This window comes from Homo sapiens, chromosome 9 (genome assembly GCF_000001405.40).
Source record: "Homo sapiens chromosome 9, GRCh38.p14 Primary Assembly".
NCBI lineage: Eukaryota > Metazoa > Chordata > Mammalia > Primates > Hominidae > Homo > Homo sapiens.
This window is the reverse complement of record NC_000009.12, coordinates 110,563,586-110,588,884: the sequence shown is the minus strand read 5'-3', so window position 1 is coordinate 110,588,884 and position 25,299 is coordinate 110,563,586. Positions and strand designations below refer to the sequence as shown.

General features: G+C 39.5%; 1 protein-coding gene across 1 annotated transcript in view, besides 2 other annotated features; it reads left to right on the top strand.

Annotated features, from left to right (window-relative positions):
* The first annotated feature begins 9,143 nt into the window (after positions 1 to 9,143).
* SVEP1 (sushi, von Willebrand factor type A, EGF and pentraxin domain containing 1) overlaps positions 9,144 to 25,299 on the top strand; it is a 214,494-nt gene continuing 198,338 nt past the window's right edge. The window contains exon 1 of the mRNA NM_153366.4: positions 9,144 to 9,872. Within this exon, the coding sequence (NP_699197.3) occupies positions 9,342 to 9,872 (531 nt within the window). The 5' untranslated portion in view covers positions 9,144 to 9,341. The remainder of the gene's footprint in view (positions 9,873 to 25,299) is intronic.
* Positions 9,276 to 9,776: an enhancer, noted in NCBI's record as "H3K4me1 hESC enhancer chr9:113341389-113341889 (GRCh37/hg19 assembly coordinates)". NCBI's record gives its function as "activates a minimal SCP1, AML or CMV promoter by ChIP-STARR-seq in naive H9 embryonic stem cells {active_cell/tissue: H9 hESC(naive)}" and the evidence as "EXISTENCE:reporter gene assay evidence [ECO:0000049][PMID:30033119]".
* Positions 9,777 to 10,277: an enhancer, noted in NCBI's record as "H3K4me1 hESC enhancer chr9:113340888-113341388 (GRCh37/hg19 assembly coordinates)". NCBI's record gives its function as "activates a minimal SCP1, AML or CMV promoter by ChIP-STARR-seq in naive H9 embryonic stem cells {active_cell/tissue: H9 hESC(naive)}" and the evidence as "EXISTENCE:reporter gene assay evidence [ECO:0000049][PMID:30033119]".

The following is a 25,299-nucleotide window of genomic DNA, read 5'->3' as shown; positions in this document are numbered from 1 at the left end:
GTAGAGGGAAACTTGGAAATTCAGGAGTTGAAGGTTAATATCAATGTCAATATCATTAGCCATTTGGGAAATGCAAATTAAAACCATGATGAGAGACCACTGCACACCTATTTGAATGGTTATATGTGGGTGTATACATATACATCTATGTATGTGTTTTTATAAATATATATATAAAAACACATACATAGATGTATGTATACATATACATCTATATATATGTATATATGTCTACATATATATACACATATGTATACATATACATATATACATATGTATACATATATATGTGTATATCTGTATATATGTATACACACACACACACACACACACACACGCCCACACAGAATACCAAACACTGAATGGAATGCAGAGCAACTAGAACTCTCATACATTCCTACTGTGAATGAGACATGGTGCCTGCACCACTCAGGAAAACACTGTGGCAATTTCTTAGAATGAAACCATACTTTCAGCAAATAACCTAGTAATTTCACCTCTGGGTATTTACCCTAAGTAATTGAAAACATAAGTTCACACAAAGGCCTGTACACAAACACTTAGATGAGGTTATTATGCTGAGTGGAAAGCATCAGTCTCCAAAAATTACATACTGTTTAATTTCATTTACATTGTCATTCTTGACAAGATAAAACTATAATGTTGAAGGAAAGATCAGTGGTTGCTAGGGATTAGGGGTGAGGTGAGGTGTAACTATAAAGGCAGTTTTTTAATCAGTGAAACTGTTCTGTATTCTGATTACAAAACAATTGGATCTGTGGTTATATAACCACAATCACAAATAGGATACAGAACAGTTCCTGATTTCATGTACCTCTACAAACAAAAAACTCAATTTTACTGTATGATAATTTACAAATGAAATTTGGCATGGTGGTTCACACCTGTAATCCCAGCACTTTGGGAGGCTAAGGTGGGCAGATCACCTGAGGTCAGGAGTTCGAGACCAGCCTGGCCAACATGGCAAAACCCTGTCTCTACTAAAAATACAAAAAAAAAAAAAAAATTAGCTGGGCATTGTGGTGGGTGCCTGTTATCCCTGCTACTCGGGAGGCTGAGGCAGGAGAATCACATGAACCTGGAAAGTGGAGGTTGCAGTGAGCCGAGATGATACCACTGCACTCCAGTGTGGGTGACAGAGTGAAACTCTGTCTCAAAATAAATAAATAAATAAATAAATAAATAAATAAATAAAATAAAGTATAAATCTCACAGGACCTATAAAACAAAAATACAATTTAAAAATACCCAAAAAACCAAGGTATATGGGCAACAAATAGCATAATGAATGAAATAGTATCTCACGTCTCAATACTAACATTGAATGTAAATGGCCTAAATGCTCCACTTAAAAGATACAGAACTGCAGAATGGATAAGAAGTCACCAACCAACTATCTGCTGCCTTCAAGAGACTCACCTAACACATAAGGACTCACATAAACTTAAGGTAAAGGAGTAGAAAAAGACATCCCATGCAAATGAACATCAAAAGCAAGCAGGAGTAGCTATTCTTATTTCAGACAAAACAAACTTTAAAGCAACAACAGTTAAAAAGACAAAGAGGGACATTATATAATGACAAAAACCTTTTCCAACAGAAAAATATCACAATCTTAAATATATATACACCTAACACTGGAGCTCCCAAATTTATAAAACAATTACTAGTAGACATAAGAAATGAGATAGACTGCAATACGTTTTAGTGGGGTACTTCAATACTCCACTGACAGCACTAGATAGGTCATCAAGACAGAAAGTCAACAAAGAAACAATGAACTTATACTATACCCTGGAATAAATGGGCCTAACAGATATTTACTGAACATTCTACCCAATAACCACAGAATATACATTATATTCATCAGCACATAGAATTTTCTCCAAGATGATAGCCCACAAGACAAGTATCAATAAATTTAAGAAAACTGAAATTACATCAAGTACTCTCTTAGATCACAGTGGAATAAAACTGGAAATCAACTCCAAAAGGAACCTTCATAACCATGCAAATACATGGAAACTAAATAACCTGCTCCTGAGTGATCATTGGCTCAACAATGTAATCAAGATGGAAATTAAAAAATTCTTCAAACTGAATGATAATGGTGACACAACCTATAAAAACCTCTGAGATACAGTAAAGGTAGTGTAAGAGGAAAGTTCATAGCCCTAAATGCGTACATCAAAAAGTCTGAAAGAGTAAAGACAATATAAGGTCACACCTCAAGGAACCAGAGAAACAAGAACACACCAAACCCAAACCCAGCAGAGGAAAGAAAATAGCCAAGATCAAAACAGAACTAAATGAAATGGAAACAAACAAACAAAAAATACTAAAGATAAATGAAAGAAAAAGCTGTTTTTTTGAAGATAAATAAAATTGATATACCATTAGCAAGATTAACCAAAAAAACGAGAGAAAATCCAAATACGCTCAATTAGAAATAGAATGGGAGATGTTACAACTGACACTACAGAAATACAAAAGATCATTCAAGGCTACTATGAACACCTTTACATGCATAAACTAGAAAACCTAGAGGAGACAGATAAATTCCTGGAAAGATACAACCCTCCCAGATTAAATCAGGAAGAATTAGATACCATGAAGAGACCAATAACAAGCAGCAAGACTGAAATGATAATAAAAAAATTACCAACAAAAAATGTCCAGGACCAGATGGATTCACAGTTGAATTCTACCAGACATTCAAAGAAGAATTGGTACCAACTGTATTGACAATTGGTATCAATTGTAGAGACAGAGGGAATCCTCCATAAATCATTCTATGAAGCCAGTATCACCCTAATACCCAAACCAGGAAAGTACATAACAAAAAAGAAAACTACAGACCAATATCCCTAATGAACATAGATGTGAAAATCCTTATCAAAGTACTGGTTAACTGAATCCAACAACATAACAAGAATATAATCCACCATGATCAAGTGGGTTTCATATCAAGGATATAGGGATGGTTTAACATACACAAGTCAATAAATGTGATACACCACAGAAACAGAACTAAAAAATCACATTATCATCTCAATAGATGCCGAAAAATCATTTGACAAAATCCAGCATTGCCTTTATGATTAAAACCCTCAGCAAAATCAGCGTACAAGGGATATACCTCAATGTAATATAAGCCATCTGTGACAAACACACAGCCAACATAATACTGAATGGGGAAAAGTTGAAAGCATTCCCTCTGAGAACTAGAACAAGACAATGATGCCCACTCTCACCACTTCTATTCAACGTATTACTGGATGTCCTAGCCAGAGCAATTAGACAAGAGAAAGAAATGAAGGGCATCCAAATCAGTAAAGAGGAAGTCAAAATGTTGCTGTTTGCTGATGATATGATCCTATACCTAGAAAACCCTAAAGATTTCTCCAAAAAGCTCCTAGAACTGATAAATGAATTCAGCAAAGCTTCAGGATACAAAATTAATGTACACAAGTGAGTAACTCTCCTATATATCAACAGCAAACAAGATGAGAATCAAATCAAGAACTCAACTCCTTTTACAATAGCTGCAAAAACAAATAAACAAACAAAAAAACTGAGGAATATACCTAACCAAGGAGGTGAAAGACCCCTACAAGGAAAACTACAAAATACTGCTGAGAGAAATCATAAACACAAACAAATGGAAATGGAAACACATCCCTTGCTCATGGATGGGTAGAATCAATATTGTGAAAATGACCACACTGCCAAAGCAATCTACAAATTCAATGCAATTCCCATCAAAATACCACCATCATCCTTCACAGAATTAGAAAAAAAAAATTCTAAAATTCATATGTAACCAAAAAAGAGCCTGCATAACCAAAGCAAGTCTAAGCAAAAAGAACACATCTGTAGGCATCACATTACCTGATTTCAAACTTACTACAAAGCCATAGTCACCAAAACAGCATGGTGCTGGTATAAAAAATACACATAGACCAATGGAACAGAATAGTGAACCGAAAAATAAACCCAAATACTTACAGCCAACTGATCTTTGACAAAGGAAACAAAAAACTAAAGTGGGGAAAGGACACCCTATTCAACAAATGGTGCTGGGATAATTGGCTAGCCACATGTAGGAGAATGAAACTGGATCCTAATCTCTCACCTTATGCAAAAATCAACTCAAGATGGATTAAGGACTTAAATCTAAGACCAAAAACCATAAAAATTCTAGAAGATAACATTGGAAAAACCCTTCTACACATTGGTTTAGGCAAGAATTTCATGACCAAGAACCCAAAAGCAAATGCAACAAATACAAATACAAATAAATATTAATACAAATAAATAGCTGGGACTTAATTGAACTAAAGATCTGTTGCATGGCAAAATAAACAGCACGGTAAACAGACAACCCACAGAGCAGGAGAAAATCTTCACAATCTATACATCTGACATAGGACTAATATCTACAATGACCTCAAACAAATTCACAAGAAAAAAAAATCCCATAAAAAATGGGCTAAGGATATGAATAGACAATTCTCAAAAGAAGATATGCAAATGGCCAATGAACATATAAAAAAAATGCTCAACATCACTAATGATCAGGGAAATGCAATCAAAACCACAATGAGATACCACCTTACTCCGGTAAGAATAGTCATAATCAAAAAATAATAGATGTTGAGGTGGATGCGGTGAACAGGGAACACTTCTACGCTGCTAGTGGGACTGTAAACTAGTACAACTACTATGGAAAACAGTGTGGAGATTCCATAAAGAACTAAAAGTAGAACTACCATTTGATCCAGCAATCCCACTACTAGGTATCTACCCAGAGGAAAAGAAAGAGATACTTGCACAGGTATGTTTATAGCAGCACAATTTGCAATTGCAAAAAAGTGGAACCAGCCCAAATGCCCATCAATCAATCAGTGGATAAGAAACTGTGAACGATGAAATACTACTCAGACATAAAAAGGAATAAACTAATGGCATTCGCAGCAACCTGGATGGGATTGGAGACTATTATTCTAAGTGAAGTAACTCAGGAATGGAAAAACCAAACATCGTATGTTCTCACTCATAAGCAGGAGCTAAGCTATGAGGATGTAAAGGCATAAGAATGACACAATGGACTTTGGGGACTCAGGGGGAAAGGGTGCGAAGGGGGTGGGGGATTAAAGACTACAAATTGGGTTCAGTGTATACTGCTCAGATGATGGGTGCACCAAAATCTCACACATCATCACTAAAGAACTTACTCATCTGTTCCCCAAAAAACTGATGGGAATTTTTTTTAAAAAGAAACATATAGAGTGGCAGATGTTCCCAACCTCTGTATGTGAGAGAATGTCTTTGTTAAATTCACGGCAGAAAGATATTCTTATAAATACAGTCATAATGCAGTCACAAGGTGGCATCTTCCTCCTATCTCCACTGCCTGCCGCTGTGATTCACTGACACTGTGTTATAGTTTTGTTTTTAAAACAAAACATGACAACTAGCATGCGTGGAAACAGACATTTTTCCTGCCTCTGCTCCCATGACTGGACTTGATGCTTGGAATCTCAGGAGGATCTTTACCAGCACCACTCTGCTCTCTTCCTCAGTCCCTCTTCCATCTTTCCCCATATGCACGTTGCAACTTATCTGTTCACAGTATCAGCTTCAATGTAGAAAGATGGGTGCTGTGAAGGGAGGGTGTAGTTGGTGTCCTCGACTCAAGCAGAGGTCCCAGCGGGTAGACAGGATTGAGGTTCCATTCCTGATTGAACAAAATGTGGGACTCTGAATCACAGTTTAGGTGGTGAGAATTATATAATGCATGCCTCTTGCCCTAGCCCACCAACACACTTTTTTTTTTTCCAGAAGTCTTTATTTCATGAGATGAAGTCAGGAAGTCAGGGTAGGTTTTTTTTACACTTCAGCTCCATGTTGTCATTTCTATACCTTTAAGTTGCTTTTTCTTTTCCTCTTTTTTCTTTTTTTTTTTTGAGTCAGAGTTTCACTCTGTTGCCCAGGCTGGAGTGCAGTAGTGCGATCTAGGCTCACTGCAACCTCTGCCCCCTCAGTTCAATGGATCATCCTGCCTCAGCCTCCCGACTAGCTGGGACTTCAGGCATGTGTCACCATGCCCAGCTATTTTTTTTTTTTTTTTTTTTTGTATTTTTAGTAGAGACAGGGGTTCACCACGTTGGTCAGGCTGGTGTCGAACTGCTGACCTCAAATGATCCACCCGCCTCGGCCTCCTGAAGTGTTGGGATTACAGGCATGAGCCACTGTGCCCAGCCTTTCTAATCTTAATGTTTAGTCTAACAAGTTTTTGTCATCTTCTGCATCTATTACTGTGGTATAGGCCAGAGTTTCTCAACCTCACCACTATTGTCATTTGGGGCTAGATGATTCTTTGTTGTGGTGGCTGCCAGTGCATTGTAGGAGGTTTTGTTGCACCCCTTACTCCTATACACTAGATGCCAGTAGCACTGCCCCATCCCCCAAATGTCTCCAGACATTGCCTAAGGTTCCTGGGAGTGAGACATGCAAATCTCTCCCGCTGGGAACCACTGCTTTAGATTAGAGAGCAGAAGGGACTACAGGGCTCTGGGGAGCGGTGGCAAGACTTGGAGCAGCAGTCTTAATAACACTCAGGCAGGACTTCTCTGACTGATGTGTCCCCACTCTCTTACCATGAGGACAAGTAACATAGGCCTGACTGTTCATCCCGTTGGAGGTACACAATGCCAGAGTGCTGTTCTTAGGCGTTCACCCTTGGGGCATGTGTTAGAATTATCCAGAGAGCTTTGAATGTGTCTAGGCCTATGGCAGACATCTCAAAATATTATTAACTTGAGTTGGTGGGGTAAAAGTCTTTCTCAGGTTATAAATCCGAAGAAGAGACTAAATGTGGCATCCAAAAAGAAGCCAAACTGAGAGAAAAATTAAAGACCTAAGTAGTTTTTAATTTCCTTTTCCAAGCCTTTTTGAGACCAGCTGTACCCTCTGCCCTTTCCCTAGTTTAGTTATACTAACCAAAAAATCCCTTTTTGTTTAAATGAGGAGACATTAGGTGCCACTTACTTGCAGCAAGAGTTCTAAAGCAATTGAGTACCTCCTTGGTTTGTGTGGGGAACACAGGAGATGGCACACATTGCAGATGCCACGGTGCTTTGCACATAAAGGGCTTCATGATGTGTTTTAAATAACACAGAGTAGATGATATTTGGAAAAACTTTTTTTTTTTTAAAAAAGTCCCAGCTCAAATGAAGTCTTACTCATTCCCCAGGAAGAACGAGATCTTTCTCCTCCTTGCTCTTTCTTCTCTGCTTTTGCAGTCACCCTACTGCTTTGTAATTGTTTGCAAATCTATGTTCTTTTCTAATGTTCTTTGAACTTCTGGAGGACTGGAACTCAGTCTTATTCACCTTTAAATCCTCCGTATCTAACATGCCAGCACATAGCAGGTGGTCAATAAGTATTGTTAGGAAAATAATTTGAAGAACATTCATGATTAAAGGTGGCAATAAGAGCAACCAGCCAGCATTTATTGAGTACACGCTATGCTCCAAGCATTGTCCTAAGAATTTTACTTTTTTATGACTTAATCCTTATGACAGCCCTTAATATGTTATCGTTATTACTCCATTTTACAAATGAACAAACTGAGTCAAGGCTGTACAACTAATAAATGGCAGAGTCATGATTTCGTCCAGGAAAACTGATGCCAGAGCCCTAACATGTTACACAATACATTGTGATACTTGTCACTGAAAGTATTTTGTTAAATACAGACGGAGTTAAATCATTCACTATTAGAAACAGAGGAAACTGAGATCACTGAATTCCATCATGAAATAGATACTGATGCTGAGCCAAGGATTGGAAGTGACTCAGTTCAGGTGGTTTACATAACCGTAGGCTTACCTACACGGTGTTCCTGACTCCCAGCTGGAATCTTTTAACCAAAGGCCCCACCCTCATGCAAAGTGCACCTTTTCTTTACACGTGCGCTCTCCCCTTTGGAGGTCTTGCTTTGGAAAAACCACCCCAGGTAGCAACTTGTTTCAAAGCAGATATATGCCAGGTACCACTTAAAGCCAGGTGGATCTTATCTGTTGAAATAGATCAAGAACACATGAAAGGGGACTGGGGACCCCCTACTTACACTTCAGACTTCAGCACAAACTTTCTGTCCTCAGAGAAGGCTTCTCTGGCCTCTCCAAGGTCAAGTCTGTCTACCTAAGCTCTCCTTTATTTAGCATGGTCACTTGTAATTACATATATTTTGTATGTTAATATCTGGTTAATGGTCACCTCACTTGTTACCCTTTAAGTTCATTGAGGATAGAATCCCTGTCAATTTTTGTTCCTTATATTTGCAGTGCCTCACATAGTTCCTGGCACACAATGGGTATTCAAAAAATATTTGTTAAAATCAGGAAAGAATGAACAAACAGATGAATGAATAAATGCACGACTGAAGTACCATGACAAATCATTCCTGTGGAACGCATAAGGTTAGATGCAACTCCTTTATGGTGTGATCTGAGGGGGCCCTTAAGGGCTTAATCTGCACGCTCACACACACCACTGATTAGAAATCCCCATCAGGAAAATTGTACAATCATCTATTTGGCGAGGGCTTTGGGACACTGAATGGGGGAAAAGAAACACAAAAGGTGAGCAAGCAGTTTTCAAAGGATGCTTTCAACTCCCTGGCCAGTCCGCGTGTATGTTTTCGTCTACAAAGTGTTTCCAATTACTGTGGCACTCTCGGTATCTGGATCCATCTCCAGTGAATTCCTCTGCAGCTCCTGCCAGACATATGGGATCAATCAGGGCTTCGGCGCTGGTGCGCTTGCTGCGGGAATGTTGACAGCCTGACAGACGCGGGGTTCTGGTGTCATGGAATCTCCGAGCCTTTGGCTTGATCCCGGGAGGAGAATGAGAGGGGGAGGAGGGAGATAGAGTCACAGATACAGAAAGTAGACAGGAGCGGGGAGAGGGAGAGAGGGAGAGAAGGAGGGAAGCGGGAGATTTTTCTTGACTGCCCCCTTTCCTTCAAACATTTTATAGGCTTCAGGGAGAGAGAGGAGGAGGAGAGAGGGAAGAAAAAAAGAGGAGAGCGAGAGGGGTAGAGAGCGCGCGCCGTTCCCTCCGGAGTTCCCGAGCTGCTGAGGAGTCTGGATTGTGTCTGTCCCCAGTGTCAGATGAAAGGGCGCTGAGGCTCTTGGCCGCTGCCCCGCGCCCAGCTCCGCGCACGCCCCTCTGCGAGTCCGGCCGCCCAGCGCCTCTTCCCGCCCGAGCCGCCGCCTGCGCTCCGGGGCAGCCGCTCTGTCTCCAGCGCGATGTGGCCTCGCCTGGCCTTTTGTTGCTGGGGTCTGGCGCTCGTTTCGGGCTGGGCGACCTTTCAGCAGATGTCCCCGTCGCGCAATTTCAGCTTCCGCCTCTTCCCCGAGACCGCGCCCGGGGCCCCCGGGAGTATCCCCGCGCCGCCCGCTCCTGGCGACGAAGCGGCGGGGAGCAGAGTGGAGCGGCTGGGCCAGGCGTTCCGGCGACGCGTGCGGCTGCTGCGGGAGCTCAGCGAGCGCCTGGAGCTTGTCTTCCTGGTGGATGATTCGTCCAGCGTGGGCGAAGTCAACTTCCGCAGCGAGCTCATGTTCGTCCGCAAGCTGCTGTCCGACTTCCCCGTGGTGCCCACGGCCACGCGCGTGGCCATCGTGACCTTCTCGTCCAAGAACTACGTGGTGCCGCGCGTCGATTACATCTCCACCCGCCGCGCGCGCCAGCACAAGTGCGCGCTGCTCCTCCAAGAGATCCCTGCCATCTCCTACCGAGGTGGCGGCACCTACACCAAGGGCGCCTTCCAGCAAGCCGCGGTAAGGCGCCCGCCCCTCCCGACCCGGGCCCTAGTCCCCGGGCCCTTCGACCCACCGCTGCCTGCCCGTCTCTATCCCGGGGTTCAGTCCTGGGCAAGGCATAACCACCCCAAGTCAAGCGTCCCCATCCACAAAACCAGAGTCATCGCTACCCGCCTATTATTGTTGTGGAGGTTCCAATGGGATAATGGATTTTAAAACGCTTAGAGGGATGTCAGGCTCCTTAGATAGTCGGCTTCGAGGACCCTGTTAGGAAGGGATCCTTGAAACGCTAATCACATTCACGTTTGTAGGAGCAGACGGTATCCAAGCTGAAACAGGTGAGCATGGTTTACAAAGTGTTTCTAAAGGTAGGACATGGAGTGATATAAACCTAACCCCAATTCTTTTTAAAGTTATGTTATGCTTTCAATGTAAGATTCGTGCCCTTCCTATTTTTGCTCCAATCCTTTATTAGATTTTTAATATCTGGAAGAGGAAGTCAGTTTGGGATGTCGGACTTTTGTAAAGTGTGTCTGTTTTTCTGATTACAAATTAATCCATATTCAGTGGGGGAAAAAGAAACATATAGAAATATCTAACACATAATAGCAAGCCAGTGTTTGTGGACTGAATTAAACAAAAAGTAGGGAGAGGAAAAAAAAACCCTAAAATTTCATCACTTTAAAAAAGCCACTGTTTGCAGGTTGTTGAACAGTTGCCCAGTATGTACATCCATTCATACTTTTAATATCTTGCTGTTTTGTAGCCTACATTTTTCGTTTGTTATATCCTAATTAAAATGTTCTACATTAGCTGCATACTATTCCATTGCGTGCAACAATCACTTATTGTTGGACACTTAGGATTTTTCCTTACTAAGTTATCGTGAACATAAATATTTGTGGACTCCTCTGTTTACATCTTTAGGAAGAATTTCTATAAAAGTTCCTGAACTAAAGGTTATGAACATTTGTAACTTCTTGATACTATTGTCCATTTCTCCCTTGGAGGGTTGTATAAATTTATATTCTCATCAGCAGAGTATCTCAGCAGTAAATTTGCCACATATTCACCAATATCATACTATTCTTTTTAATATCTTTGTCAATTTAAGAGGTGATGGAGGCATCATTTTAGCAAATACACATTTTTGATTTTTGAGGATGAACATTTTCCAGTACATCTACTGGACATTTGTATTTTTTCCTCTGATATTTATAGTTTTTGCCCATTTTGCCATTATAGTGCTTGTTTGTTTTTTCTTAACACATTGGCTTGTTTTTTTTTCTTAATGATTTGCAAAAGTTCTTTATATAGTGAGGCCAGTAATTCTTTTGTGTATATGTTGCAAATGTTTTTCCAGTTCACTGCCTTTTATTTTTGTTTATGGAAATGTTGTTAGATGAATGGTTTACATTTTTATACACTCAAATCTATCAAACATTTTCCTTAAGATCCTATATTTGTTCATAGTTTTAGAATAGCTCTCTCATTTCCCAAATCAGAGAAATAGTTTTCCATGTAGCAGCTTAATCCATCTGGAATTTATTTTTGTGTATGATATGACAAAGAGGTCTAACTTGATTTTAAAAAATAAATAGTTAACCAGTTGTCCCAGCACTACTTGCTTAATAGCCATCTGTCCTTTTCCAATTTAATTGAATGTCATGTTTATCATGTGCTAAATGCTTATGGGTATTTGATCTCTTCCTGGCTTTCTATTTCATCCCATTCTCTATCTCATTTGTATCATTGCCAAAATGTTTTAACTATTGTAACTTTACAACATATTTAAATATCTGGTAGTGCAAATTCTCCTTTTAAAAAATCTATTCTTTTTCTAGTTAATTCTTACCCACTTATTATTTAATATGAATTTTAAATTCATTTTTACATATTACCAATGAAGTCAGTAAGGATTTTGATTTCAATATAGAAAATATTGAATTAACTTGGGGATTATATGTATTTTATAGTAATAATTCTTCCATTTCAAAAGTGTAAGACCTTATATTTTCTCAAAGTCTTAGAATAGCCTTCTCATTTCCCAAATCAGAGAAATAGTTTTCTATTTAGCAGTTTAATCCATCTGGAACTTACTTTTGTGCATAGTGTGACAAAGATGTCTAATTTTATTTTTTAAATGAATAAGCAGTTGTCCCAGCACTATTTGGTTCATATAATTTGCTTAATAGCATTTATGCATATTCTTTATACACATACATTTATACATCTTTAACAAAGTTGTAGATTTTTAGAAGTTAAGTCCTGTATATATTTTTCAAGTTTACATCTAAATATATTCTGTTCAATATTACTGTCATGAATAGCATCTTTTAAAATTAAATTTCAAACAACTTTTCTTGACGTATAGAAACACTGATTTTTAAAAATATGCCTTCTATATTTGGATTCTTGTTGAAGTCTCTTTGATTCTTTTTTTCTCTTTTTATATATATTTTATTTTACTGATAATAAATATTTATTGCAGAAAATAAAATAATCAGGAAAACTATTTCCTGAAAATATACCGTCATAGTTTGGTACATAGCTTCCTTGACTTTATTCAGTTGTCTAGGTAATAGGCATGTTTTCATACATATATTATGCCTAAATTATGTTTACCCAGGAAAAAGGATTCAATTGTACATCCTCTTGTAATTTGACTTTGTATTCCCACCATATATTTCAGTCTTCTTTCCAAAATAAGGAACATATTTCTACTATCATTATTTTTCAGGGTCACAGTTTTCCACTGTAGAATGTGCTTTTGTGTGTGAGTGTGTGTGTGTGTGTGTGTGTGAGACTACCTATTACTATGTATTTAGGCTGTTACAAACATTGTGTAACTAAATCTTTGTCCATATCTCTAATCATTTCCTTAAGGCAAATTCTTGAAGTGCCATTATTGCATCAAAGAATATTCATGTTTTTTTAAGACATTTAATACATGTGTCAAGTTGCTCTGCAGAAAATGGTGCCAACCTGCCCTCCACATGCAGCCCCAGTGTCAGGACCTGGGGTTCAGACCAGCCAGTGCTGGCTAATATCATTTGAAGATTCCATCCCCCACCCCCTAACTTTCTAAGTGAGAAATGGAGTCCCATTTTAAATTGCATTTCCCTATTAGTGAGGCTGAATATTTTAAAAACATGTTATTGTCCATATATAGCTCCTTTTTTTGAATACCCACTAAGATATTTGAGGATTATTATCCAGTTTTTAACTGGGGGTGGCTCTCTTATTGATTTGCAAATGCTCTTTAAATCTTAATGGTATTAACCCTCAGCTGTCAGTGACCCAAGTGTGTGGCAAATATTTTTTCTCAGCGCTTTAATTTTGTTTAAGGTGATGGCAACAAATGTTTTGTTAGTCTACTGGATCTATTTTTTTTTCATTTGTACTGTTTTCATTGCTTATGAAGGTTTAAAGGCTTTTGCCTTTAAGAGATAAATAGCTACCCTAAAAATGCTCTCTGTGTGTTGAAGCAGTCGCGCCAGGCAGGGTATAGTTTTGCAGCTGTAGTTCCCTGTTGGACCTGGTCTCCGCTCTAAATACTCATGAGGTCCTGATGGCTGGCCTTATTCCTAATGCCATGGTCTACTCCATCCAGGAAGAACCCTGCTGCATCAGGGAAAAACCTGCCATGTGCCAGCTCCTCTGTTTGGCTTGGCCAGACTTGCCCGGGGCCTCTGAGAATGTTGATCCAAAACAGTAAAATGGGTAATGAGTCGAGTACACAGTGCTCCCCTCAAGACCTACTCTGTCTTCAGCTTTCCCCTTCCAACTACTACATCCTGTCTTGAACAGAGGAATTGCCTACAAGGTTCCCAGTGCTGCTCTTCAGCCTGGATCCATTTGTAATCTAACAAGCAGGGATTTCTCAAAAGTTTGTATTAGCTGATCTTCCCTTTGACTTTTTTATTTTTATTTTTTCTCATTTTGGTTGGGCTATGAGAAGGTACAAAAGAAGGTCAGCTGGACTCGGCCAGGCGCGGTGGCTCAGGCCTGTAATCCCAGGACTTTGGGAGGCCAAGGCGGGTGGATCACGAGGTCAGGAGATCTAGACCGTCCTGGCTAACACGGTGAAACTCCGTCTCTACTAAAAACACAAAAAATTAGCCGGGCGTGGTGGTGGGTGCCTGTAGTCCCAGCTACTCGGGAGGCTGAGGCAGGAGAATGGCGTGAACCCGGGAGGCGGAGCTTGCCGTGAGCCGAGGCCACACCACTGCATTCCAGCCTGGGTGACAGAGTGAGACTCCTCAAAAAAAAAAAAAAAAAAAAAAAGAAGGTCGACTGGACTCAGTCCCTGTCTAAACTGGAAGCCTACATGTCTGCATTGTAACTTTTCCAAGCCTCTGATGAGCATTCTTAGGTATAACTAAAATATAAGATTTAGAGAAAATTGGTAGAAGATGACCAACATTTAGAAATGGTGTTGGTTGAGGCTTGAATTTTTGCATAGGGATCAGGCAGAAGCATTTAGCTGCAAAGTTAGTTTGAAAATGGTAAGCTATCTTGAATGGGTTTTGACCTGAAACTTTGTACGTTTCATCATGGAAATGAGATCGTTTGTCAGATTCCCACGTGTGTGCAGAGTGGTATTATTATAACTGATTGTGACCTAGCCTTTGTGTGAAATTGAAAATCACAGGGACATTTCTGAGATTATTAATTACTCCCTGGAAAAATCAGTTTTTCAAACCTTTTCTGTTTGAAACTGAATGCTCACACAACTGTTCACAGACACAATCACAGGCAAACACATAAACATGTATGGTGCATAGGCACACTGTGCAAGCGCACAGTTACCCCTCAGTCAGACATCTTATTCCTCTTGTATAAAAACCGCGAGATGTAGAAATTTTCTTTAACAACATGAAATTTGCTGTTATTTCTCAGCAGATGGGACTGACCAAACAAAAAGGATTAACAGTGTTGCTTCTCTTTTTAAATGATTATTATTTGGTGTCAGAATTGGACAACTCGAGGGGTAGTATATGAGTGGGTACTCACCATTATCACACCTGATTTGAATGGATAAAGTGCAGTGTAGACATAGTCTCTTCAGAACCACCCCCTAGCACTCTTCAAAGAGTGCAAGGACTAAAGCAGTGAATTCTGTAATTAGTACACAGTCAATAGCCTGGGGGAAAGTTTAGCACCTTGAACTTAATTACATGAAATCCTTTTACAGAATTAATGAAAAGCTCTTCAGCTGTTTGTTCTGGGTGAGTAATTATCTCATAACGACCTTTTTCTTGGTTTTTCTTCCTGCCATGTGTTTGTAAGTTACCTTTCCTAAAGTGAATATGTTTAAATTGGTCCCACTGTGAATGCCAGGCTCTTCTCAATCCTACGTATTTCACATCAAAATAAAACCAGAGCCCCTCATTTCCACTTCGCTTTTGCTAAATATCCGTTAAACAAACATCGCATGAAGCTTCCTTTGAAAAAAAAAAAATCTGCTTTCCTCATTGTTCCTGAATTCCAGAAATGTGATCCTCTGGTGGGGGATGCGCTGTCTCGCCAAACATCCAAGCTTTAGATGGTCAGAGGACTGGGAATGTGTGGGCAGAAGTGCTTCCTAGCTCAGGGAAAGAGCATCTTCCATGATGTGTCCACACTAGTAGATATTCACACCTTTACCTGGAGAGTAATCTTCTCTCCCAGGCTTATGGGAAGAAAGTGTCTCTTTTTATGTTTTCTAACAAACCCTGAAGATCTGTGAGATGCCACTAGGATTTGTTCATACAAAGGCTGATAATAGCCTTTGTATGTTTTGCAGTGGTCTCTCTGATGGCCCCAGTGCTGAAATAATAAGGAAAGTTTGGGTTCTTTTTTTTTTTATAGGAAGGGGTGGGGGTACTTATGTAATCTGCAGTGGACTCAGTTGTTCCACACTCAGAGGGTAGTTTTAACATCAACAATCGCTCACTGTTGCATCAGCTAAGTTCTTTATGCTGAAAAGATATATTTCCAAATTTACGTCTGGAAATGCTCTCTCTTTTGTGCTTCTTAAGCTTTTGAAGAATTCTCAAATCATCCCTAGTATTATATAGGAATCTCTTTTTCAACCTTATCAGAACTTTAGAAGTATAAGTGGAATGGAATAGAATGGAATGGAATGAATGAATAATGAAGAAATAAATCCTCAGTACGTACAACAATTCCAGACCTCACATATATTTCCCAGGCAAAAAAGTAGTACTCATTTTTTTTTTTTTTTTTTTTTTTTTTTGTGAGAGAGAGAGAGGGTCACCCTCTGTCACCCAGGCTGGAGTGCAGTGACGCCATCTCGGCGTCACACCTGACTAAATTTTGTATTTTTAGTAGAGACAAGGTTTCGCCATGTTGGCCGAGCTGGTCTCGAACTCCTGGGCTCAAGTGACCAGCCCACCTCGACCTCCCAAAGTGCTGGGATTACAGGTGTGCGTCACTGTGCCTGGCCTAAAATTTTTAATTTGAAGAGAGAGTGAATAATTCTTAAATGTCGAATTCAAATTTCTTCTTAATCTAGCACTACATGTATTTTATTTATTAGTTTTGTTATTTCCTGCATATAGGACACTGGTATGTAATAAGAATGTGTACCTACTGCTACTGTTAAAGGCACTTATTATTATTGGCTGCCAGTGTTATATTCTGTTTGGTTGAAATACATCATGAAAATGCTTGGTCAAAGACTGTGAATGCTTAGACACATGGAGAGAGCCAACTGCTTTGTCCTCCCTCACAGCTGTGGCCAAAGGGTAGGAAAATTCTCCACCAATGACCTAATGATACAAATGTGCATAGAGAGGGTTTCTCTTAACAATGACCATAATTACACACAAATCACATAGCTAAGTAAATGCCAAAGACAGTCTATCCAGTCTTCTGATTTATCACCTGGTCTTTTTGTGCCCCTCTTTTCCTATATCTTACTATATTACCTTTGGAGGTAGGTATCAAAAGCTAAGGAGAAGTAGGGGATTCCATGTCCAGTGTTGCTAAACTGTTACACAAGATGTAAAGCCAAACAGTGTAACCCAGAGAATGTAAACGATGGCTGTAAAATATTCATTCCAAGGGTGCATTTCACTTGGTGTGTGTATGTGTGTGTATAATTTAATCACACATTTTAAAATCAGGAGATAGCATGTTTTCAAAAATCTGGCTTTTTGGCTTACTCTTAGCAAATTGTAGCAATTCTGGGTGTGTATTCTTTCAGCCCACTGGAGTCCCCGCCTGGCACTTGGAATTTCATACTGTGGTCCTTGAGTGCTATTTCATGGCCTGACATGGAACAATCAATGGCAGAGGCTGAGATGGTGTTAACCCCCTAGATGATGTAAACTAGAATGAATGAAGTGGCTAGGAGTAGCTTAGCTGGATCTAATAGAAAATCTGAGGTACCACTAGCTTAAACATGATGGACATTTATTTCTTTCTCAAATTAAGCCTTGAGTAGAAAATTCAGAGGGAAAATGACAGGTCTGAAATGTCTTCTGGGATCTAGTTCCCTCTTTTCAGCTCTGCTCCATCATCTTCAGGTCACCTCATGGTCTCAGTTGGCTACTGGAGCTCCTACCATCAGGGATTCTTTCCAAATGCCAAGAAGGAGAAAAGGACAGAGACAGTCACGCTCTTAAGGAGACTCTGTGGCAGTCCACACAGTACTTCCACATAGATCTCATTGGGGAACACTTGGTTTCATGCTTACCCTTAGTTTTATGGAGCTTTATTGCTGAAAAAGAAGGAAAATGTGGATGCTAAGCTTGGCTAGGCATGGTGGCTCACGCCTGTAATCCCAGCACTTTGGGAGGCTGAGGCAGGTGGATCACCTGAGGTCAAGACCAGCCTGGCCAACATGGTGAAACCCCATTTCTACTAAAAATACAAAAATTAGCCATCTGTGGTGGCACATGCCAGTAATCCCAGCTACTCAGCAGGCTGAGGCAGGAAAATCGCTTGAACCTGGGAGGCCGAGGTTGCAGTGAGTTGAGATCGCGTCATTGAACTCCAGCCCAGGCGACAGTGCAAGACCTGTCTCAAAAAAAAAAAAAAAAAAAAAAAAAGGAGCCATCTGGAAGAGTATATGTCTAACCAGGGAGATGACGTCAAGAAATCCTATTCCATTTCTTCCTCAAATGCCACTGGCCTGGCCAGGATCAAGATAAAAGAGTCTGGCCTTGACTGAAAATACCTTAGTCCTTAGGGCAGATGATGCTTCTTTTAGTAAAAATTATCAGAGTTCCTAAGCAACTCATTTAAATATTGTGGTTCATGCCTATAATCCCAGCACTTTGGGAGGCCAAAGCAGGCAGATCACCTGAGGTCAGGAGTTCAAGACCAGCCTGGCCAACATAGTGAAACCCCGTCTCTACTAAAACTACAAAATTTAGATGGGAGTGGTGGTGCACACCTGTAATCCCAGCTACTTGGGAGACGGAGGCAGGAGAATTGCTTGAATCCAGGAGGCAGAGGTTGCAGTGAACTGAGATTGCGCCACTGCACTCCAGCCTGCACAACAGAGCAAGACTCTGTCTACACACACACACACACACACACACACACACACGCAACAGAAACTTTTTGTCTTAGTTTCCCAGAAGTCAGAAGCTTCTAAATAATATGAAATTCACTCACAAATAAAAGATGATACTGATAGAGACAGGGAAAATTGTATACCACAAAATAAAATTAATACTTTAGTGTTAATTTGATAAATACAAGTGAACATTTCTCAGGAAAACATGGTTCTTCATCTTTTCTCTAGTAAGCTGCCAGGTGAAGACATGTCTACATTGAAAGGAATTTCCTGTTATGTATTGTCTCTGCATTTCCCATAGATTTTAAAGACTGTTCTCTAAATCTCTCCAGACCATATGAAGACTGGATTGCCGGCATAGAGTCAGAGTCCGCTTCCATACAGTAACCTGCTCTGGTTTGGAGGTCAGCCGTGGATAGGAAAAACTCTGTGAGAGTTGTTGTTTAGCATGAATGTTGTTACAATGCTTCACTTGAAATGAAAGATAGCACTCAGAAAATGCAATATGTGAATCATCAGTAGATGCATTTTCCCCTATCCATCTTTATGAAAAGATTTTTAAAGTATTCATCTTCTCTGCTGTATGTCTTTCTCATAGAGTCATTCAAGAAATTAATAGTTTATTTCTGTAAAGGGTGAAGCAATAAAGATTTTTCAAGTTCAGAGCATATAGTTATTTCATAGATGTACTAAATGTGTAAGCTGTAAGCTTGAAGATAGATTCTAATTACTATGTCTATTGAAATAGTGATAGCTACCTTGTTTTATGTGAATAAATGTAATTTGAAACTAATTAAGGAAAAATTTAATTCCACAAGATAAATAGAGAAAAAAATAATTTAAGGGAAGTTCTTAGTAGGACTTATTACATGATTGAGTCGTTTACTAAGAAAAAGTAATAACACCAAGTTAAATATTTTCCCAGTTGTAAGCTACTGCCAGAGTATATAAACTATATTTTGAGGACATGAGTTTGATGAACTCTTTTCTTAATTTCTCTGAAACAGCCCCAATAGCCTCAAATTTTTTTTTTTTTTTTTTGAGACTGAGTTTCACTCTTGTTGCCCAGGCTGGAATGCAATGGCGCAATCTCGGCTCACCACAACCTCCACCTCCCGGGTTCAAGTGATCCTTCTGCCTCAGCCTCCCAAGTAGCTGGGATTACAGGCATGCACCACCATGCTCAGCTAATTTTGTATTTTTAGTAGAGACGGGGTTTCTCCTTGTTGGTCAGGGTGGTCTCAAACTCCCGACCTCAGGTGATCTGCCCACCTCGGCCTCCCAAAGCCTCAATTTTTTAAATTGCCCATCCTATAGCACTAGCAGATAGGATGTACCAGTTGCTAATGCCAAGTATGTTTGTTTGTTTTCTAATTTAATTTAATTTTTATTTATTTATTTTTTTGAGACAGGGTCTCACTCTGTCTCCCAGGCTGGAATGCAATGGCATGATCATGTCTCACTGCAGCCTCAACCTCTTGGGGTATCCCCCTACCTCAGCCTCCTAAGTAGCAGGGACTACAGGGTCACAAATTATGCCTGGCTAATTTTTGTATTTTTTGTAGTGACAGGGTTTTGCCATGTTGCCCAGGCTGGTCTTGAACTCCTGGGCTCAAGCGATCCTCCCACCTCGGCCTCCCAAAGTGCTGGGATTATAGGCATGAGCCATCACTCCTGGCCTGTCTTTCTAATTTCAAAGTTGGTGTTTAAAATGTATATTTGTGTATCTACATGGTTAAAATACCAACACTTCTAATTTTATTCGATATAAACTCTTAAATTTTCAGTAGTTCAACCCATAAACTTGTGCATTTGTAATCATCCTTATTTTCTTACATTTGTCAGAGTAAGGGTCCCTTCCCTCAGCAAGGTAGAACTTTCACCAAGCATTTTCCCTTCTTTCTTGTGCATTCGAGATCTTCCTCTTCACAGGCCTTTTTCTCTGAACATAGAGCATTCACAATTTATCTACATATTTAAGAAACTGGCATCATATTTCCAGAGCAATATGGTAAATTGTCAGTATGTTTGCAATAAAAGTATAAATCCTAAAACGAAATATTTACCAATCAAGGAATTTCCCATGAGAAAATAATCTGAGATAAAATTCCCTATAAAAGAATGTTCATCGCACACTCTGTGTGTGTTTACCATGAGTATATAAAACTCTCTAAATAATGTAAGTTCAATTTCATAAACTATGTGCACTCTTAGAACTTGAGCGGGAGCCTTGATTTGCCCCTGTGCCTACTTATGGAAGAAGAAGTGAGCTGGAGACACATCTGATGTTTCCATCTAGGCTCTGCCAGAAGCACAACCTAAGATGAAGTTTGTAGTGTAAGTAGCTTATCTGGGAGGTGGTCCTAGTAAATATTGATGTGAGAGTGGGGAAATGAGACAAGGAAAGGAAGCTAGCCAACAGCACCATAAAACAGTTGTTGTTCTTAATTCCACTAGGGAACACTGGGAGCCAGTGTAGAATTCAGGCCTTAGAAGTATCGCAGCTTAAGGGTGATAGGTCTCAGGTATTTAGAGACTACCTCATGTCAGTCACTGCCAAGGATTGGTCCCTGGAGGGCAATAATTCTCTGTCACTTTTCTGTCCCCTGCAAATAGGCAGAGTCATCTCCAGGAACCCAAGAAAGCCCTCAGGCGGAGATGCAGATGCTGGCAGGGGATGTCTAGGAAGTCTGGGTGGGCCATCAGCAGGGTCCTCTGTGGCAGCTTGAAAGGGAGGCTAAGAGGACCAGCCTGCACTATCAACTTTTGGCCAAGCAAGGGTATGTGACATTTCCACAGGTGAAGAACTATGGAAAATAACTCAACTGAAATCACTTTATTGCCTGCTAAGCAGACAACTCCAGCAGTAAGAAATTACTAGGTGCAGTACTGGAAGTGGGATCTGAGAAAATGTGGAGTGTTCTTCAAAGAACTCACACATGGGCCAGCATTTGAGAGTCCACAAACACAGAAAGGACCAATGCCTTTTTCTTTATTTCCTTTCACTTTTTCTCTTTCAATATTTCCTCTTTCTCCTATTCTTTCATGGAATGAGACCGAGTATCAAAATTTAGTAGGCAAAGGTGGCTGAAGTCACAGCAGTATTGTTCTTGTGGGAATTTTTCAGAGTTAATTTGTATTCACCAATTTGATATTTTGCCAAAATGTGGGGAAATACTGTAGGGAGATATTAGATAAGGAAATTACAGAGATGTATATACATGGTTTATAACTCTCTTGTGGTGTTTGTTGTCTTCCCTCTGCTTGCTTACGACAAAGATCACATCTTAGTTGACTTTGTACCTCCTACAAGACCTAGAAAATGATATTCATTAGAACTTTAGAATTCTTGAAAGGATATATCTTTAGTGCATTTCATTTTAGTGTATCAAGCATTATATTGTGTTTTCCTGAATGTTTCTGTTGCAAATAACTGAAACAAAATAGTTGTAACATCTCAAAGGACTATTCAGTGGATGCTTGACTTTTGAAATGATAGGATAATTTTAGCAAATTCATCCTTCAGATCACTTTCCCGAGAGAGCAATATAAAGTGTTTGGAAGGATCTCAGACAGATGTGGACTCCTACCTGTTTTCCCACAAATTGTGATCAAAGAGGTAAACTTTACAGCACCTCTGGAGAGAGAAGCTCATCCAGTGAGTTCTGAAGAGAATCTGTAGGCTCTGGGCTTTTAAATTCATGTCCTCTCTCCATATCGCTGTCACAACTGCCCTTTAACCACTCCTGTAATGTTCTCCTCAATATTGCACAGATTCAGATAGTTCTTTTTCTGCTCTTCTGCCAAAAGCATTACCACCTACTTTTTGGCTCAGGTGGAGTTGTGTGGTTATTGGTTATAGAGTCACAGTTTTCCCTAATCCCATGTCCTACCAGTGATAAGCATGATTACTGGTTTTCATTCACTGTTCTGCATAAAATGTTGGTTGCATTGTAATTGGTTTATCTACTTGACAGATGTATTCTACTAACATGTTAAAAGTTCCTTGGATGAATCATGGTATATGATAATGAATGATTACTACTTGTCAGGCACCACTGTAAGCACTTTACCCATATGAATTTATTAAATCTTCACAATAGCAAGCTTTCTTACTTAGGTTATTATTTATTTATTTATTTATTTATTTATTTATTTATTTATTTATTTATTATGGAGACAGGATCTTGCTCTGTTGCCCAGGCTGGCATGCAGTGGCACTATCACGACTCACTGCAGCCTCAACTTCCCAGGTTCAAGTGATTCTCCCACATCAGCCTCCAGAATAGCTGGGAATACAGGTGTGAGCCACCACACCTGGCTAATTCTTTTTGTATTTTTTTGTAGAGATGTGGTTTTGCCATGTTGCCCAGGCTGGTCTCAAACTCCTGGCTCAAGCAACCTACCTGCCTCAACCTCCCAAAGTGCTAGGATTACAAGTGTCAGCCACTGGACCTGGCCGGTTAGGTTATTATTATTATTACCAAAATGCAGATGAAGAAACTGAACCATGGAGAATGTAAGTAACTTGACCAGGTGATACTACTGGTTAGGTTGAAGAACTAGGATTCAAATCCAGGCAGTCTGGGCCAAAGTCTAAATTCTTAACCACCATGCAGAACTACCTCTATGTCATGTTGTCAGATCTAGTAGATGCAAGACACACTGATACATACTCACCAGTGAAGTTCATTGCAAAGTCAGGAGGCAGAAACGGCAGCCATGAAAGGGACTTGGGTATGTCCATGACCAAGCGGAAGGCAGGTTGGAGCAGATACAGGACTAAGAGAAGGGGATGTTTGGAGATTGTCATTTGAATGGGCACTCTCTAAGTTGCCTGATAATCCCAGCTGACCACCCTTATCTCACACCCACTTCACTCTCTCTCAGATGCCATTCTTACATGATATAATCATATCAGCTAGCATCTCCTGCCTCATATACTTTAACAGATATTTCTACCAGTCCTTGCAGAGACCAAGCCACTGAGGCAGTAGGAGATCATATCTTTTAGCTGCAAGATATCTGCCTCTTTCCTTTGTATTTATCTAGCTTTCTGAAGTCTTAGGTTCCTTTAATCCAAGGTCAACACTCCACCTCACACCCTTTATTGAAATAAAATGTAACCCAAGCAAAAATCAAATTTTCTTTTAGTCCTAAGTGACCTTAAGTATTACTCTCAAATAATCATTCAGCCTACACTTAAGTTTGTAAATGTATATGCAGAACCTCAGTACAAGACTTGGTCTTCCAGCTAAATTCAATTTATCCTAATCTGAGTTACTCAGCGTTCCCCTGCATCATAACATTCCTATTCTTTTCATACACTGCCCATTTCACAAAAGAAAACAAAAACCCAATTCCTTTTGACTATTTTAGTACTTTCTTCAGGTAAAAAACAAAACAAAACAAAACCCCAAAACCTTGCTATAGCAGTTAGCTCCATGATCATCAGTGCTTACTAAAATCTTTCTTCAAGTATGGTAGGTAATAAACTAGATTCATTTATATGTCCAGTGCATATTTAAAGAACACTGCCCCTATTGTAAGAGGAAGCATGTAACTGAATTGTAAGGATTGTTTAATCCACCAGAGACTACATTTTATTCAAAATAATTTTAAAAGTCAACACATTTGAAAGATAATGTATATAAATATGACTACTGTCATTGATTGATAATTTAAATACAGATAATTAATCTTCTGATCTATGAATCAAAGTCAACCCTGAATCATTTGGGTTTTAATTTCAGTTTCTTAAAGATAAGAAACAGAATATTTTGCTCCATCCTGGTTTATTTATGTGGTCATATGGTCAATCATACAAACAAATAAAAAAAATGAAACAAACTTCCAAATGTCGTTTATTTGGAATGCTAATAAATGTTACAAATTAAATGTGTTTTTTTATGAATTTAAGATAACTATAACAAAGAAAGTACACAGTAAGTTCACGAACTTAAAAAATCTCTCTTCAACCTCCACTCCTTTGCACCCCTCTTGTGTCAGATTTGATTTGAAATATATTTGGCTTTTTCAAGCGTTCCAGAGTTGGCTTGTTGCTGAAGCCTAAGTATTTGCAAGGTAATGGTTAGATTTTCCATGTCTTTCATGTGTTCTAAATTCCTGCTAAACTTTTTCTTTATGGTAAGTATTAAAATACCTGGTAAGAAGACATTATTTCTTTTCTAACAGCTTTGAATCATAAATCACATTTTTCTTCTTTCTCAGTAATATTTTTACACTTGAATTCTCCCAATCTCTATGCATGCATCCTGGCATTTGGTGCCCTTTTGGAAGAACAGTTTGACCTGATACATTTCCGAAATACTTGTTCTACTGGCTAAGCCTAAGCATAGCATTAAATTATTTCTTCTCTTCGTAGCTCGTATTTTTTGCAGTCCAGTCAATCAACAGCCACTTTCACTGAGGACCATGCCCCCACTCTTCAGTCCACTGCCTACCCATGAGGGTTGTCCCTTTCTGTTTGGATTGCAGGTGGCAATCCAGAGATTGAGATAGTTCATTTATATTCTTTTTCCTGGGAATTTGAATTAGGGCACAAAGAACCCTGAGAGAGTAGGTGTTTTTTTGGTTTTATTACCAGTAGACAGGTACTACAGAGTTAAGACTGCACAGAGAACCATAGAAATCTCATCAATGTAAGGAAGAGAGAATGAAGAAGATATACAAAGAGAAGTGGAGACACCATACTGTGTAACTCCAGAGGAAATAAATGTAATGTTGGAGGAAGTAGCCACCATGGCTTCTACTGGCTTGCTTGTTCCTGGTTTCAATCCCTCTTGAGAACTAGCTCTTCTCCCTACTTTCGGGTTAGAAAAAAATATTCCTATATACATCCAGTAAATCTTTGTTTAAGCTAATTAAGTGATTATCCAACCACACAACAGA